The following is a 15,791-nucleotide window of genomic DNA, read 5'->3' as shown; positions in this document are numbered from 1 at the left end:
GACGCCCGTCTTCGTGTCTCCTCCCTCCCTCGCCTTCCTCCTTCCTAGCTCCTCTCCTCCAGGGCCAGACTGAGCCCAGGTTGATTTCAGGCGGACACCAATAGACTCCACAGCAGCTCCAGGAGCCCAGACACCGGCGGCCAGAAGCAAGGCTAGGAGCTGCTGCAGCCATGTCGGCCCTCAGCCTCCTCATTCTGGGCCTGCTCACGGCAGTGCCACCTGCCAGCTGTCAGCAAGGTAGCTCAGGAGGAGAGGGCTGGGCACGGGAGACCCAGGGGTGGACAGGTGGTGTTCTGGCTCCCCTCCCCAGGGCCTTGATACTTACAGTTTGGAGGGGGAGCAGGGACTGCGCTAGCTGAAAGAATGTCCCAAGGCAGAGACCTCTGAACCAAGTCTCTGCCTGTCACTTGTTTTCAACGAGTGAAAACTGGCAGCAGTTGGTTCTAGGATCTCAGGGAGGAACAGGATTTGAGGCCCAAGCCCCAAGAGCAGGCATTGCCCAAGGGATGGCTGGGTCCTGAGTACAGGGGACCCGGGGGTACAAGTAGGGTGAGAGTGGGGCCCAAGCCACCCCTCAAAGACTTGGGCTTTGTCTCGGCCTCTTGGGCTTGGATAGAGAACAGTGCCCAGTGTGACTCCCCCAAATATCTGACCTCTTCGTCCTGCTCTGCCTGAATGGATGTGTGACCTTGAGCAAATCACTGCCCCTTCCTGAGACTCAGTTTTCTCACCTATAAAATGAGAACAATAAACCCCACCCTGCCCACCTCCCAGGGCTGCTGCCAGGTCAGAGGTGAAGAAGGGCTTTGCACCTGGTGAAGTAACTAACCCAAGGTCTGGCTTTCATTCTACACTGTCAGGCTGCATCTGCAGCCAAAGTCTGGGGACTCTGCAGGTGGGACTTGGTCCAGAGGGGACTGGCAAAGATGCTTTCAGAGCTCCCCTCCCACCCCCACCCCGAGCTCTTATGTGTGTCTGCTTCAACTCTGTCTCCCAGGTCTTGGAAGCCCTCTGGGGAACTGCAGACCAGAGAGGTTGAGTCACAGAGCACGGCAAGAAAGGACAGGGTTCAGACCACCTTTCTCCTGCCCCAGACACTGCCCCTTGCTGTATGTGCATGGGAGGAGGAGCAGGGACTGTGGTCCCTGGGGTGACTGGAGAGAATTGGCTGCAGGGTCTAGGAGGAAACAGGGAGGGGCCTCCAAGGGTTGAGCCCTAACTCCCCATGCTTGAGCAACCACTGACCTGAGGGAGCAGTCTGAACCCCTAGGGAAACAATGACTCCCAAATACTGCTTTTTGGCAGGTGTGGAACTGAGGGTAATCACACTGTGTGTCTTCTGCTTCCCCTGGAGATAAGTGAGGTCTGACCTCACTACAGGCCAGAGAGTTCCTAGCCTCCTTCCTCCTTCCCAATATTTGCCAGGCTCGGAGAAGAGGTCAGGCCTCCACTGCAGCAGGAGAGCTTTTGGTAGACTCAAAGGAGGACATTTGAGCAGGAGTGAGCCAGAGGAAGGTTTTCTCATGTCCAGCTTGGGTCCCTCAAAATATAGGGATGCAGGTATATTCTGGCCTGGAGGCAGGACCCCTCTGAAGCCCCCTGCTGACCTGTGTTTTGTCCTGGGACTTCTCCCCGCTGAGGGTCTTTTCTCTACAAGGCTGAGCTCCTGCAGGCTCATGGAGTGCAGTGATGCTGGGGAAGAGGAAAGTCCTTTGGGGAAGCAGAGGCCTGAAGGCAGGGACTTCAGGAAAATCTTGAGGGACTGTGTTGGTGTCAAGGGTCAAAAAGCAGAGAAGGGACCTGGTGCAGTAGCTCATGCCTGTAATCCCAGCACTTTGGGAGGCCAAGGCCAGAGGCTCGCCTGAGCCCAGGAGTTTGAGACCAGCCTGGGCAACGTAGTAAGACCCTGTCTCTATTAAAAAATAAAAAAAGTAGAGAAGGGTGCAGGTTGGGGCCTCAACCTAATCTCTGGCCCTAGTCCCTGGGCACCCAGCTGGGGGAATCAAAAGGAGCTCAGGTTTTGAGGCTTCTTTCCTGGTCCCCAAGACCCAGAGTAGAGTTCACCCCTCCATTCTGCCCTTCTAAAGATGTCCTGGTCCACTCCTCTCTCTGGGTACCCCAGGCACCCCAGATCTCCCCAGCTGAGCAGCCCTGAGAGTCTCCCACTCTCATACCCTTCCTACCATCAGAGAAACGTCTTGCTACAGAACAGGATCTTCTAGATCCCAGACCAGTCTTGTCAGCTGTGGGTCCTCCTCAGCCTTCTGGGAGCCACTCCCAGCTGCAAGGCCTAGGCCGGCTGTCCAGGGGGCTGCCCTTTGGTCCCTGGGGCTGCATGTGACCCACCTGCGGGAGGGAAAGAGGCTCTGGGCTGCCTAGATACAGCACTGAGGCTCTTCCCTCCTTGGCTTCTCACTCCTTCCAACTCCCTTCTCTCTGAGCCTCTGTTGTTCCTCCAGCTCCCTCCTTTTCCTAAGCTCGGTGGAGCTTAAGATGCATAAGTGGGTCAGATGGGCTGTATCCCACCCCTGCCTCCCCACAATGTCTCCTTGCTCCTGGCAGCTGGCTGAGGGCCTTCAGCATAGGTGGGGTCCTTGAAGAGTGAGGCCCCTCGCTCTCCTGCACATGCAGCCCCACTGTGGCCCCGTCTGCTACAGCCCCTCTCCCTTTGTTAGGCCTGGGGAACCTTCAGCCCTGGATGCAGGGCCTTATCGCGGTGGCCGTGTTCCTGGTCCTCGTTGCAATCGCCTTTGCAGTCAACCACTTCTGGTGCCAGGAGGAGCCGTGAGTGCTGCCCAAGGGTCCCTGAGCAGGCAGGGTGGGCCCAGGACCACTGCTCTTGCTCTAGTAGCAGTGAGAAGGGCCTCAGAAACCCTGTGTCCAATCCTCCCCCTGAGGCTCAAGGGAAGGGAAACTGAGGCTCAAGGTCATGGGGTGGGTTGGTGACAGTCGGGATGAGGGAATGAGAGCCTAGGCTTGCTGGCTCCCAGACCTGGGCACTGTGGGCCCCACAGCTCTGGTGCCCACTCCCTGTGAGTTTTGGGGAAACGGCTTCGCTTCTTGGAGTCTTGGTGTTTCCGCAGAGCCAGGATAGCGGCCCAGCCTGTGATGGGGGCTGTAAGGACCTCTAGAAGGTGCGGTCCCTCCTTTGGGTGGGTCAGCTGTGGTACAGAGAGGGCATGGGACAGACACACCTCCTGCCCTCACAGGCTCAGACTGGAGTGAGCTGTCAGAAGTTCAAGAGTTGCTGCTGAGGGAGAGCGCAGAGGACACTGCAGGGCCTGACCTGGTCCGGGGTGGCCAGAGAAGGCTTCCCCATTGCACATTTATCCCGAAACCTGACTAACGAGGAGGAGTCACTACCAGGATAGAGTGGCGTGGGAAGAGCGCTGCAGTTGAGGGAAGGGTACACCCAGGTCCTGAGTTAGGGGCACGGCACCAGGGCTGCTGGGGACAGACACACACAGGTGAAGGGCAGGTGGGCTGAAATCCAGCTCACTCTGCACTCACCAGGTCAGGACCCTCAGGCAAGGCTGCCTCTGTTCCCAGGGGCATTTCTTCCCAGATCTCACAAAGGTGGCCTGGTGGCTTGAGTGCTAGCCCCATGCAGGGTTGCTGAGGAAACCCCAGTGGCTCAGTGGGTGGAGACAGGGATGGAGACACCTGAGATGAGGCTGGTGAGGTGGGCAGGCCCAGGCCAACCAGGCTCTTGCACACCAATGACCTGAGCTTTGGACTTTACCTAAGTGAGCAGGAATCCAGTGACAAGTTTTTTTTTTTTTTCTTTTTTTTTGGAGATGGAGTTTTGCTCTTGTTGCCCAGGCTGGAGTGCAATGGCTCTATCTCGGCTCACTGCAACTTCTGCCTCCCGGGTTCAAGCGGTTCTCCTGCCCCAGCCTCCCGAGTAGCTGGGATTACAGGTGCCTGACACCACGCCTGGCTAATTTTTGTATTTTTAGTAGAGACAGGTTTCACTCTGTTGGCCAGGCTGGTCTCCAACTCCCAACCTCGTGATCCGCCTGCCTCAGCCTCTCAAAGTGCTGGGATTACAGGTGTGAGCCACCATGCCCTGCCTCCAGTGGCAAGTTTTTAAGCCAGTTTCGGGATGAGACACGGCCTTAGCAGAATGACTCTGGCTGCCTCGTGGCAGATGCACGGCAGCGGTGGAAGAGTCTCCAGTCTGCAGGCCTGGAGAGTGGTGAGGGGGTGGGCATGAGGTCAGGAGGGGGTCTGGACTGTAGCGGTGGCAGAGAGGATGAAGTGAAGAGACGAGTCTGAGCGCTGTCTAGGAGGTGGGCACCCTGGGAGTTGGTCGTCACAGACAGCAGCGGACTCGAGGGGAGGAAGGCAGGAATGGCATCTAAGTTTCTCATGGCGGATCACTCACCGAGGCCCAGAACACAGGAGGATGAGCAGACATAGGGGCAACTGCTAAGTTTAATTGGAGACATATTAAGTCTGGGGTGCCTGTGGGATGTCTAAGGAAATGAGCAGGTGTTCGGGTCCCTGTAACCCTCATGAGAGCAGCTTCTGGGAGGCTTCAGGGAGAGCCCACACTGCAGGGGGTTTAAACTTGAGTAAGAGACGAGAAGGTTGTTGTTGAATGCCCTTCAGATAGACTTTCTCCACCTGCCCCAGCTCTGCCTGAAGGGCCACCAACCACATCTGTGCCCACTGCCCAAGGCACGAGCTGGGGAAATTTGGGGCAGACACTGCATCCTGCAGGGCCTGCTGTGGAGGCTGAACTGAGGGCGTCTGGGACAGAGAGAGGCTTTGGACTCAGGATAAATCTTTTGCAAATATTTGGCCCCCCACTATGGAGTGGGGAGAAAGTGAGAGACCCCATGGGTGGGGCCAGTAGCCGCGGCTGACATGCCCTGTTGCACACAGCTCTGGGAAGGGCAGTTGCTAGCCTTCGGGCTTGTGAGAACCAGGACCCAGAATAGGGTCTGCTTGGACGAGGGGGGCCCCACTGAGGAGCCCCACTGATGAATCCCATCCCCAGGGAGCCTGCACACATGATCCTGACCGTCGGAAACAAGGCAGATGGAGTCCTGGTGGGAACAGATGGAAGGTACTCTTCGATGGCGGCCAGTTTCAGGTGAGGTGCAGGGCAGGGCTGCCCGGTCTGTGCTCCCAGGGCCTAAGGAGAATCTCAAGACAGGTGCTGCTGGGGGGAGGTGGCTGGGGAGGACGGAGACTCATGTGGGCAAAAGCTAGTGAGGCAATGGGGGCTTTGTGAGGATTGCAGGGCTCTGTGGGGAAAATGCAGCCCCTGTGTGGGGCGAGGGCTGCAGAAGGGGACGGAGACTTGGTAGGGTAGGGTTCAGCGTAGGGGAGGGGACTCATAGGGCAGTGGGTACAATGGGGACAAAGGGTTCAATGGAGGAAGGAACAAATGAGTGAGGGACTCAGTGAGGGGAAGGCTCAGTAGAGGATGCAGCTCAGTGGGGGATGGGTTCACTGGGGTATGGACTCAGTGGGGGATGGGTTCACTGGGGTGTGGACTCAGTGGGGTATGGACTCAGTGGGGTATGGACTCAGTGGGGGATGGAGCTCAGTGGGGGATGGAGCTCAGTGGGGGATGGATTCAGTGGGGGATGGGTTCAGTGGGGGATGGGTTCAGTGGGGGATGGACTCAGCCTCAGTGGGGCATGGGCTCAGTGGGGGATGGACTCAGCAGGGTATGGACTCAGTGGGGGATGGGTTTAATGGGGGAATTGGTTCAGTGGGGATGGACTCAGTTGGGGATGGAGCTCAGTGGGGGATGGGTTTAGTGGAGCATGGTGTCAGTGGGGGATGGGCTCGGTGGGGGATGGGCTCAGTAGGACCCAGTGGTGCAGCAGTCCACAGGAGGAGGGAGATAGGTGTCAGGGAGGGGATGCTGAGAGGCCTCCAGTCTCGGATGCATAAGCCCAGATGTGGTCAGGACAATCCCCTTCTGGGAGTCAAGTGTTTATTCTGGAAGCTATTACTGTCACAAGTGCAGGAAGGGGCAGGGAGAAGGGGATAGAATGGGAGGAGCGATGACCCATCAGGCCCATGCCTTCTTCTTTCAGGTCCAGTGAGCATGAGAATGCCTATGAGAATGTGCCCGAGGAGGAAGGCAAGGTCCGCAGCACCCCGATGTAACCTTCTCTGTGGCTCCAACCCCAAGACTCCCAGGCACATGGGATGGATGTCCAGTGCTACCACCCAAGCCCCCTCCTTCTTTGTGTGGAATCTGCAATAGTGGGCTGACTCCCTCCAGCCCCATGCCGGCCCTACCCGCCCTTGAAGTATAGCCAGCCAAGGTTGGAGCTCAGACCGTGTCTAGGTTGGGGCTCGGCTGTGGCCCTGGGGTCTCCTGCTCAGCTCAGAAGAGCCTTCTGGAGAGGACAGTCAGCTGAGCACCTCCCATCCTGCTCACACGTCCTTCCCCATAACTATGGAAATGGCCCTAATTTCTGTGAAATAAAGACTTTTTGTATTTCTGGGGCTGAGGCTCAGCAACAGCCCCTCAGGCTTCCAGTGAGTCCCCATCTTGCTTTCTGAATCATGACAGTCACCTTCCGACTCTGTTGTAGTGGCTTTGGGGGATTATGCAGGAAGCCCCTGTGCCCACAGGGCAGCTGGGACCGAGGGGGCCCAGGCTGGGGAGGGGCTGAGAGTGTGTGGCCAGGGTGAGGGTAAGAGAGGGTTGGTGCCTTTCTGGTGTTTGAGAGTGAAGCACCCTCAAATGGGAGTGTCTGATGACACCTGGGAGAACTGGGAGGCAGGGAGACCAGGACAGGTGAGCCCATTTCTGCCAATGGGCTGGTTTTTGTCCCCTCAGGCCAAACCCTTTCTTCAACCAGAGCAGCCAGGCAAGGCTTCCCAGGGCAGGGCAGAGCAGACCCTAATATGAGCTAGGTTCCCCTAGTGCTGATCAGTTTCCTGTATGTAGGGAAGGAAGAGGATGTCAGAGGCCCATGGGCCAGAGAGCTCACCCACTCTACCCTTGCTCCAGGTAGCGCCCCTCTTGGAAATCCCCGCCCCCAAACATCCTTCATCCCTGAGACTCTGGGCTTTTCCTTGCTCAGCGCCGCTCACCCTCTGCCTCTGTGCTGGAGGTGTCACAGTGGGTTCACACAGATCTAGCTCTGTCTCCCTCCAGTAGCCCCTCCGTGCTGGGCTTTGGCATAGGAAGTGTCAGGAAGCAGTCTTGGGTTGAGACTCAGGAAGCCCAGATCTGAGTCCTGGGTCCTCTGGCAACTTGTGTGTGAACTTGGGAAAGCTGTTGTCCTCTCTGAGCTGAGCTTTCTCTCCGTGGAAGATTTGGCCAGTCTCACGGCAGAGCTGGAGGAGAGCCCAGTCCTTGCCTATGCCTGCCCTCCCAATGCCCAGTCCTGGGGTGGGAGTCAGGGTTGGGAAGGGAGGATCAGGAAACTGGGTCCTAGTAGGAGCAGGGGAGAGGGGAGGCATGCCTTGCCTGGCTGGCTGAACCTGGAGGCCCCTCACCTCTGTGACTGTTGGCCTTATGCGAACAGCTTCTGTCTCTGTCCAGGGTGATAACCTGAGAGACTCATCCAGGATAATTCCCAGATCCAGAGAAGTGGGGCCAGAAGGTAGGAGGCCATCCACCTTGTCCCAAAGGTCTCCCTCTGCCACTTGTCTCAACCTGTCACAGCCCCCTTGCTTTATGTTATGGCCATTGTTTTGCTATTCCAAGGCTTCACCAAGTACCACTGGGGAAGACTCATCTTAAATGGGAATCATCTCTTCTCACCTCATTGGGTTTAGGATGCAGCCTGCAGCAGAGGGAAGAGGCCTGTGGGTCGGGGAGCAGCGGCTTTGCTCCAGGCCTATCCTTGCTTTTCTGCGTGTCTTGAGACAAGTCACCTCCCCTCTCTGGGCTTCGGCTTAATGAACTGTGGCTTGTGATTTCTACTCTAGGCTTTTGCTTACGTGGCTGCCTGTGACTCATGCCTTTTCACCCCACCTCTGCCAGTTTAAACTCTGCGCATTGTTTTTTCTTGACCCAACCAAGGTTCCTCCTCTTCTGGGAAGTCTTCCTTGATTAGACCAGAGGGCAAAGCCAGGCCAGCAGCCAGCCCAGCTTCTCCACTCACTGAAGGAGAGACAGAGGTTCCTAGAGGGTCAGGCCTCTGCTAAGGCACAAACAGTCCCCTCTTCCTTTCCTGTCTCCTGGTGGGAAGCTTCTGACTGCCGGATCCGATTCTCCTTGCACGAGGCCACATTTCCTCCCAGCTCTGCCCTCAGTTGTCCCTGGGGGGTGGGAGTGGGTTCGAGTCAGGTCACTCCACCAGCCTGCCAGGGCCAGAAGGCAGAGCCACCATCCCTGTCTCCCTGCAGCAAGTGAATCCCAGCCCCTCACACCTGTGAGGTTTTGCCAGGAGAAGCCTGCTTCTGCCTGGGCTCACCTTGCTCCCCAGCAGCTGTCTGAGGCCTCTCCAAGAGCCTCCTTGGCCCCCTTCTCATTCTGTCTTGCTCAATATGGGCAGATCTAGGAGAGTGGGAACCCTAGGGGCTCCTGCAGGGGCTGGGCCGGCACTGACCTTACAGCCCTTCACCCTCACCCCATGTTCCTGCCCTGATCCAGAGGGGAGTGCTGGGAGCAGGGAGCTGCTGGCCCCAGAACTGCTGAGACCCCCAATCCTTATCGCTCATTCCCACCTGCCAGCCTGGCCAGATCGGGGAGGGAAAGGAGGCTGGGCCCGGGCCAGGGTGGCGCTTAATGACCCTCCGGGGGCCTAATCTCAGACTGGCAGCCACGGAGTGGCTCAGGCGCGCTCCTGGAGAAGGCTGATAACGCACCAGCTGGGCCCCCACCATCTATCGCTGCACAGCCAGTCCCAGGGGCAGCCTCCCAGGGCCTGGGGAGGGGGAGCCTCTGGACTAGGGCGGGGCTGGAGGCGAGCTCTCCACCCCCAGCCCTGAGGGAGGGGATCCTGAGCTTCGTGATTGGCAGACAAGGGAGAGACCCAGCCTGCAGGAGGGGTGGGCTGGGCCTGGTGGGAACCTCCAGACACCTGTGCTCCTTCTCTCTTTCCTGCTCTCTTCCCAACCTTTTCTCCCCACGTAGGACCTCTCCTGCCCAGGCCTGTCTCCTCTTTGTCTCTCCCAGCCTCCATCCATCTCTGTCTCCCTGTTTCTCAGTCTCTCCACCTCTGTTTTTGTCTCATCCTCTGCCTCTCTCTCTCCTGTTTGCCTTTCTCCTCCTCCACCTGAGCTCAGTGCCCACCTCCTCTTTCTCTCTTGCATCCCTTTTCAGTTTCCAGCTGGTTCTCTTGGTTGTCCCCTTCCCAGCTGTCCCCTGCCTCCTAAGCTTCCTTGATGTCAACCCTTGGCCGGGCAGTTCCCACGATCTCATTGGTCTCACTTCTGTGTGTGGTATCATCTCTCTGTGGTCCCTTCCACCAGCTATCTGCCAGGATTGCAGGCTGCCTCAAGCCCTGGCTCTCAGCCCAGAATGTCCTCTTACTGTTGAGGACATTTTTGCTCTTCCTGGAACAGGGCTTGCACCTTGTTTTCCCCTCTCCCACCTAAAACATGTAAGTTTCATAGGGTTACATTATAGGTTATACCCAAACTCAGGCAGAAAAGAAAAGCCTCCACCCAGCAACTGCACAGTTGAGGGAAGACTGCAGCACTGCTTACTTCATTTAGACTTGAAGAGGAACTTCCAGCCAGGAGTTGGCTTTGAAAACAGGCTGTGGAGTTCCGTCTCCAGAGTGCCAGGTGGTCAAGGGGAGTTTCAAGATTACTGCCGTCATACTCAGAGTGACACATGCAGAAATACTATCTGTTTATTGTGCTTCAAGGATCCATTAGATCAGGACTATTGCTGGGCAAAGCCTCTTCCCGCAGCCTAGGGGTAGTAAAGGTGGGGGTAGAGGTGCTGGGGCTGGGGCCAGAATCACACACAGTCTGCTCTGGCCTCTACCCACCTTCACAGGGAAGTCAGGTGGCTGAAGCCAGCAGAACTTGCTCTGGGACCAGGGTGGAGGCACCTGCCTCCCATCCAGACCTGGCTGGAGGGTCTTGACTCCCTAGCTTGGCTCTCCTCCCAGGGTTTTTTTTTTTTTTTTTTTTTGTCCCTGGCAGTGCAGGGGTGGCCAAAAGCTTGAGCTTGGGAATCATGCCGATTGGTTCAAATTCCAGCCTGCTCCTCGATGCTTGTGGGATCGCCTAGCCTTTCAGATCTTCCATTCCTTTGCCGGTAAAATTGGCTCTATAGTACATTCCTTGCAGGGCTGCTGGGAGGAAACAGAGATGACATCCGTGTTATTATTGCTCCTGAGACTTGCCAGAAAGCCCTCCATGATCAGCGTAGATGCCATTTCTTCCCAGATGCTCCTTTCCCCACTCCTGGGTTCAGCACTTCCTCCGGGCAACTTCAGCCCCTGCTCCTCCCTCTCTTTGCACCCGCCCCACCTGCCCCACTCACTCCACCCACCCCAGGGTGCTGTCTACTTGTCTGCATCCTGCTCCTGCCCTGGGTCTGGGAGCTCCTCAAGGGCAGGAATGGAGTGACTTCCCTCTCTGTGCACCCAGGACAGGGCTGGACAGGAGAAGGGAAGCCCAAGGAGTGGTGAAGAGCCCCGAAGGAAGGGACTAAACTCCAGCCATCTGTCCCGCGGTGTCTGTTCATACTCCTCCTCCGTGCACGGGCTCAGACATACATATGCGCATATGCTCTGTCTCTTTCTGGTTGAAGGTCCTGGGAGCCCTCCGGAACTCTGCTGCCTGGCAGTCCTTCAGTTTCGGGAGCTTTTCTGTCTGCCCGTGGCCTCGGCTGCCACCTGGTGGCTGCACGCTCCAAAGGAAGCGTAGATTGATGAGAGCCTCGGAAGTTGAGCTTCAGGCGCGGCTCTTCCCCGTCACACTGGGACCGGACGCATTTCCATGGCGTGGTCCCAGGAACCTCTCAGGTCATGCCAGCAACTGGGACTTCCTGTGGAATGCAAGGGCAGTGGGGCCTCCGCGAGAGAGAGAGAGAGAGAGAGAGAGAGAAGAGAGAGATATTAAGGATGAATCCCAGTGTCTGCTCTGAGCAAATTGGAAGACGATGGCATCAGGGGCACTGCTCTGGGCTATATAGACTGTGCCTCCACTAAAGGGTCCCTGAGACCAGGTGTGGGCCCGTATCCCTGGAGGGAGAGGTAACTTCCTCTGATTCGAAGGCATCATATAGGCTAGTGAATGGCACTGAGAATGGCAGATGCCAGGGACAAGCAGGAGCATGTGTGGGATGAGGATGCGGCGTGGATGTGTGACGTTTCAGAGCCTGCAACACATCCGTAGGGAAGTCCTGGAGGAGCAGTTGGGTGCATGGTGGAGTTCTGAAACAGCTGGGCAGTCGGCACTTGAGCCAGAGATTCTGCTTTCGACCTGGATGCCCATTGAGAGGTTAAGAGCTCAGGTCTGGGTCAGGCAGCTTGGAAGCAGCACAGCTTGGACACTTGGTAGCCTGGGACTGTGGTTAAATCAACGTGACTCTCGGAGCTCCAGTTCACTGTAAATTAGGGCAGTAAATGATGTCTACATGATAAGTGGTGTTATGAATGTTAAACATTCACATGAAATACATAGAATAGTGCTTAGCATACAGTACACAATAACTGTTAGCTATTTGGAAAATTACTATTGTTATTATGATTATTTATTACAGAGTGAACTGAATTGGATGCAAGATCACGGTGCGTCAGAGCTAGCAAGATCCTTAGGATCATTTAGCCTGGTTTACTAATATTACACTATGGAATTTAAGCCCAAGGAATGGAGAGTACCCGACGAGCGTTATGTAAGGAGTCGAGTGAGAAGTAAGCTGGATGCTCTGCTTGGCTGGCAGGTACAGAATGTGCCAGACCCATCTGTACCAGCCTGGATCTCTTGAGGCATCAGCACAATGGACCTGGCCACACCAGTTTATTCCACACCGCTGAGGCTGGTACAGTTCTGGACATGGACTTTGTAAATAAATAACTGGGCCTTTGGTCAGTTCTAGCTGTGAGCTTGGAGGTATGGGGTGGGATGGTGAGGACAGGTGGGGGCAAAGTGAGGAAAGGGGCAGGGAGGAGAGGGGAGAGAGAAAAAGGGGAATGAGACAGGCTGAGCTAGTGAGCTGGAATTGGAGGTTGGGAACAGGCTTTCCTTGATGGTGGTGGTGCTGTTTTCTTTTTAATTTTAATTTAATTTTATTTTAAGTTCCAGGCTACATGTGCAGGATGTACAGGTTTGTTACATAGGTAAAAACATGGTGGTTTGCTGCAACTGTCAACCCATCACCTAGATATTAAGCCCAGCATGCATTAGCTATTTATCCTGATGCTCTCCCCACCCCTGCCCCAACAGGCCCCACTGTATGTTGTTCCCCTCTTTTTTGTTCACTTAAAAGATCCCACTTTTAAGTGAGAGTATGCAGTGTTTGGTTTTCTGTTCCTGTGTTACTTTGCTGAGGATAATGGCCTCCAGCTCCATCCATGTCCCTGCAAAGTACATGATCTCATTCCTTTTTATGTCTGCATAGTATTCCATGGTATATATGTACCATATTTTCCTTATCTAGTCTATCATTTATGGGCATTTGGGTTGATTCCATGTCTTTGCTACTGTGAATAGTGCTGCAATGAACATATGCTTGCATGTATCATTATTTTTTTATTTTTTTTGAGATGGAGTCTTACTCCCTCACCCAGGCTGGAGTGCAATGGTGCAATCTCTGCTCACTGCAACCTCCTCCTCCCGGGTTCAAGCAATTCTCGTGCCTCAGCCTCCCGAGTAGCTGGGACTACAGGTGCCTGCCACCACACCCGGCTAATTTTTTTGTTTTTTTGTATTTTTAGTAGAGACGGGGTTTTACCATGTTGTTCAGGCTGGTCTCGAACTCCTATCCTCAGATGATCCACCCTCCTGAGCTTCCCAAAGTGCTGGGATTACAGGCATGAGCAACCACACCCAGCCACATGTATCTTTATAATATAATGATTTATTCCTTTGGGTACACACCCAGCAATGGGATTGCTAGGTCAAATGCTATTTCTGGTTCTAGGTCTTTGAGGAATCACCACACTGTCTTCCACAATGGTTGTACTAATTTACATTTGCTGGTGCTGTTTTCTACATTGAATCTGAGGGCTACTGTATGATGTGTAAGACACTTTCTGATTGGAGCCTCACAATGATCCTACCAGGTGATTACAACTGAGCCCAAGTTTTAGAGGAAAAAAATGCAGACTCAGAGAGAGAAAAGTGATTTGCCCAAGGTCACATAGCCAGCTAGTGGCATTGAACCCTGGCCTTTTGACTTTAAATCTATTGCAAATTCTACCCCAGCATAGGGTTCTCTTTGGGGTGTGTGTGTGTGTGTGTGTGTGTGTGTGTGTGTGTGTGTGTGTGAAATGGGGAGATAAAGAAGCCAACAGTGTTTGCCTTTGCAGAGCATGCAGTCCATTTGGAAACATGCATGTGGGAAAGTGGGGAGGGACCCTGTCAAGCATCTAAGAGGAGTGGTGGCATTTGCTGTGTCCACCTCCATCCTTCCCACTCACTACTCAGCACCTATAGCCTTGTCGCTCTCCCCAACACTCTGCTGAGACTGTTGTCACCAAAAACACTATTGTCCGGCTCCCTGTTGAAAGGTAAGATGGTCTATCTGATTCTTCCGCTCTCAGTATAATAGGATGATCACCATTTTATCTGGGAAGCTGTTCCTGACCACCTGCCCTCAGCTCATCAAGCTTCTGTGAGCCTGCAGGCTCACCCTGGTCATGCCGCCCATCTCTCTGAACAAGATTGTGAACTCTGAACTTTGTGAGGCAAAGACCACATACACCTCTTTATTGCAATGTGCAAGTGTCCTGGAATATAGGAGGTCTCCGAGAGCTATGTGTTGACATGGAGACCTTATCCCTTGCACTCAGTTACACTGCTTCCAGTAAAGTATCAACTTCTAGATCAGCGCCTTCAGCTCCACTCCCTCCTGCACAGCTCCACAGGTACCTCAGGTCCAAAATGGAATTCTTGATCTTTCACCAACCTGAGTCCTCTGTTCCTGTAAGTGGCATCCATTCACCCAGACCAGAGATAGGGGAGTCACCCAGAATCCCCCTCTCCCTCAGTCCCTGAGTTTCACTTTCCAACATATCTCCCTCCAGGTTCTTTCCAACACATCTCCCTCCAGGTTCAAGCCTCGATCTTGCCTGATGTTTGCAGCTGCCTGCTCCCTTGTTTTTATTTTTACCCCCAAGTTTTCCTCTACACTGCAGCTAGGGAGACCTTTCCTGCTGGAATACAGCCATTCACATCTGCGAGAGGAATCTAAACTCAAGGCAGGTGTAGCCTAGTGGCTATGTGCATGAGCTTGAAGCCAAATTTCCCTGAGCAAATCCCATCCTGCCAATTTTATATTAGTGGGATGTACCCCAACGAGGGTATATCAGGGACTGAATATGCAAATTAGGGATAAAATGAGGCCCATCTTATGAGGTTGTGGTGAAGAGTAAATGGATGTAAAGAAAGCATGCAGTATGCTCAGTGAATGACAGCCATCGTGATTTTCCTTTCCTTGCCTGCAATATCTCGAGCAGCCACTAGATGACTCCACCTCCTTCTCCCTTTCCAGTGCTGCCAACACTACTGCTGGAACTTCTGCCTCCCCTCCCCTCCCTCACCACACATCTCCATGCCCGTGTTGTTCATGTTTTTCCTTCTGCTAGCCTCACCGTCTTCGGGGCGTCTCCCTGACATCTTTTACTACATCTCACCCTCAGCTCTTGGAGGACGGGATGTCCCCACGAAAACTGGCATAGTGCCTGCATTGAACAAGTACTCAGTGTTTGCTGAATGAATGAATGTGGGTTAGTCAATACTAGCTCAGCTGCTTACATCACTTAGCCTCCCCGGGTCTCAGGATCTCCTTTTATCTGTGGTGACCATCCAATGTAAAGCCCTAGCATAAGACCTAGCATGCTTTAGACCCATGGTTGCCGTGCACAGCCAGCTGCCTGTCAATCATTGCCCATTCCCATTGCCCACTAGCCATTGTCCACTCTATGTTCACCCCTGTTACCTCACCCAGCTGAGGGTCTTAAACATAGTTTTACCTCTTCTCAAAGGTCATTCTTTACTTGGTAGGGTAGGGTCTAGAAAGAGTCTGCAATTTGGTTAGAGTCTAGATTTAGTTTGCAACCCAGCTGGGCTGGGTGAGCCCAGGCTTGGCTGATGGTTCAGCTGAGCCCAGATGGCTCCCATCTGCCTGGAAAGCATAGGCTCAGCCTCCCCCTTCCCTGAACCCCTACCAAGCATCCTGGCTGGCTGTGCTCCTGGTCCTCTTTTACTCTAGTCCAGTTCCTGTCCTGGCTTGGGCTGGGGGTAAGGGCACTTGTTTCTGGCCACTCCTCATGGATCTCTAGTCTCTGCCTCTGTCTTTGCCTGCTTGACCCTGGTCCTTGTGCCACTTACATCAATGTCCTGAAGCAATGACTATTTTTTATAGGACCGACTCTCAGGAGATGAAGATCCAATCACTCTATCAAAGAATATGAGCATTTCCGAGGCTCTTGTAAGGTACATGCTTTCTATTGTTTTCCTTAAGGGTTGAATCCATCTACACTTAATCAATTCCACCACAGTGTAAACAGTGTGTGTGGAGGGGCGTGGGGGTGATGGTGGACTAACAGAGGCTGAACACTTTCCAAAAACTTGTTCCCAAAGTTTATTGCTTTCTCCATATGTAATACCAGTTCCTGTTCTCTGTATTGGTTGCAATATCTTTTTTTTTTTTTTTTTTTTGAGATGAAGTCTTTCTC

The 15,791-nt window shown here is 54.2% G+C and overlaps 1 protein-coding gene and 2 long non-coding RNA genes across 4 annotated transcripts in view, besides 3 other annotated features; 2 read left to right on the top strand and 1 right to left on the bottom strand.

The window, feature by feature from the left end:
• Positions 1 to 66: 66 nt before the first annotated feature.
• On the top strand, positions 67 to 6,521 carry PDZK1IP1 (PDZK1 interacting protein 1). The gene is made up of 4 exons (NM_005764.4): positions 67 to 237; positions 2,676 to 2,784; positions 5,006 to 5,101; positions 6,060 to 6,521. Exons 1-4 carry the CDS (start codon positions 171 to 173, stop codon positions 6,130 to 6,132), a joined length of 345 nt encoding a protein of 114 aa, NP_005755.1. The 5' UTR covers positions 67 to 170; the 3' UTR covers positions 6,133 to 6,521.
• Positions 8,711 to 8,855: an enhancer, noted in NCBI's record as "145 bp enhancer 229 fragment used in the MPRA reporter construct; PK_construct_4263". NCBI's record gives its function as "activates an SV40 promoter by MPRA in K562 cells {active_cell/tissue: K562}" and the evidence as "EXISTENCE:reporter gene assay evidence [ECO:0000049][PMID:23512712]".
• Positions 8,775 to 8,792: a transcriptional cis regulatory region, noted in NCBI's record as "GATA motif; enhancer activity is reduced when this motif is scrambled". NCBI's record gives its function as "necessary for full MPRA enhancer 229 activity {active_cell/tissue: K562}" and the evidence as "EXISTENCE:site-directed mutagenesis evidence [ECO:0005528][PMID:23512712]".
• Positions 9,764 to 10,853, bottom strand: LINC00853 (long intergenic non-protein coding RNA 853). Its single transcript, NR_047498.1, has 2 exons — positions 10,665 to 10,853; positions 9,764 to 10,235 (listed from the first exon to the last, which is right to left on the bottom strand). It is a non-coding gene; the product is annotated as a long intergenic non-protein coding RNA 853 (long non-coding RNA).
• The window catches only part of CYP4A22-AS1 (CYP4A22 antisense RNA 1), an 84,084-nt gene continuing 78,772 nt past the window's right edge, over positions 10,480 to 15,791 (top strand). The window contains exons 1-4 of one of the 2 annotated variants that reach the window (NR_189276.1): positions 10,480 to 10,913; positions 11,654 to 11,932; positions 13,034 to 13,175; positions 15,479 to 15,549. This is a non-coding gene — a long non-coding RNA (CYP4A22 antisense RNA 1). Of the gene's footprint in view, positions 10,914 to 11,653; positions 11,979 to 13,033; positions 13,176 to 15,478; positions 15,550 to 15,791 lie in introns of both variants that reach the window. The other variant, NR_199717.1, reaches the window with a different exon arrangement.
• Positions 10,481 to 10,982: an enhancer, noted in NCBI's record as "H3K4me1 hESC enhancer chr1:47644793-47645294 (GRCh37/hg19 assembly coordinates)". NCBI's record gives its function as "activates a minimal SCP1, AML or CMV promoter by ChIP-STARR-seq in primed H9 embryonic stem cells {active_cell/tissue: H9 hESC(primed)}" and the evidence as "EXISTENCE:reporter gene assay evidence [ECO:0000049][PMID:30033119]".

Source organism: Homo sapiens, chromosome 1 (assembly GCF_000001405.40).
Source record: "Homo sapiens chromosome 1, GRCh38.p14 Primary Assembly".
NCBI lineage: Eukaryota > Metazoa > Chordata > Mammalia > Primates > Hominidae > Homo > Homo sapiens.
Note: the sequence above shows the minus strand (reverse complement) of the source record. Positions and strands in the feature narration are given on the sequence as shown.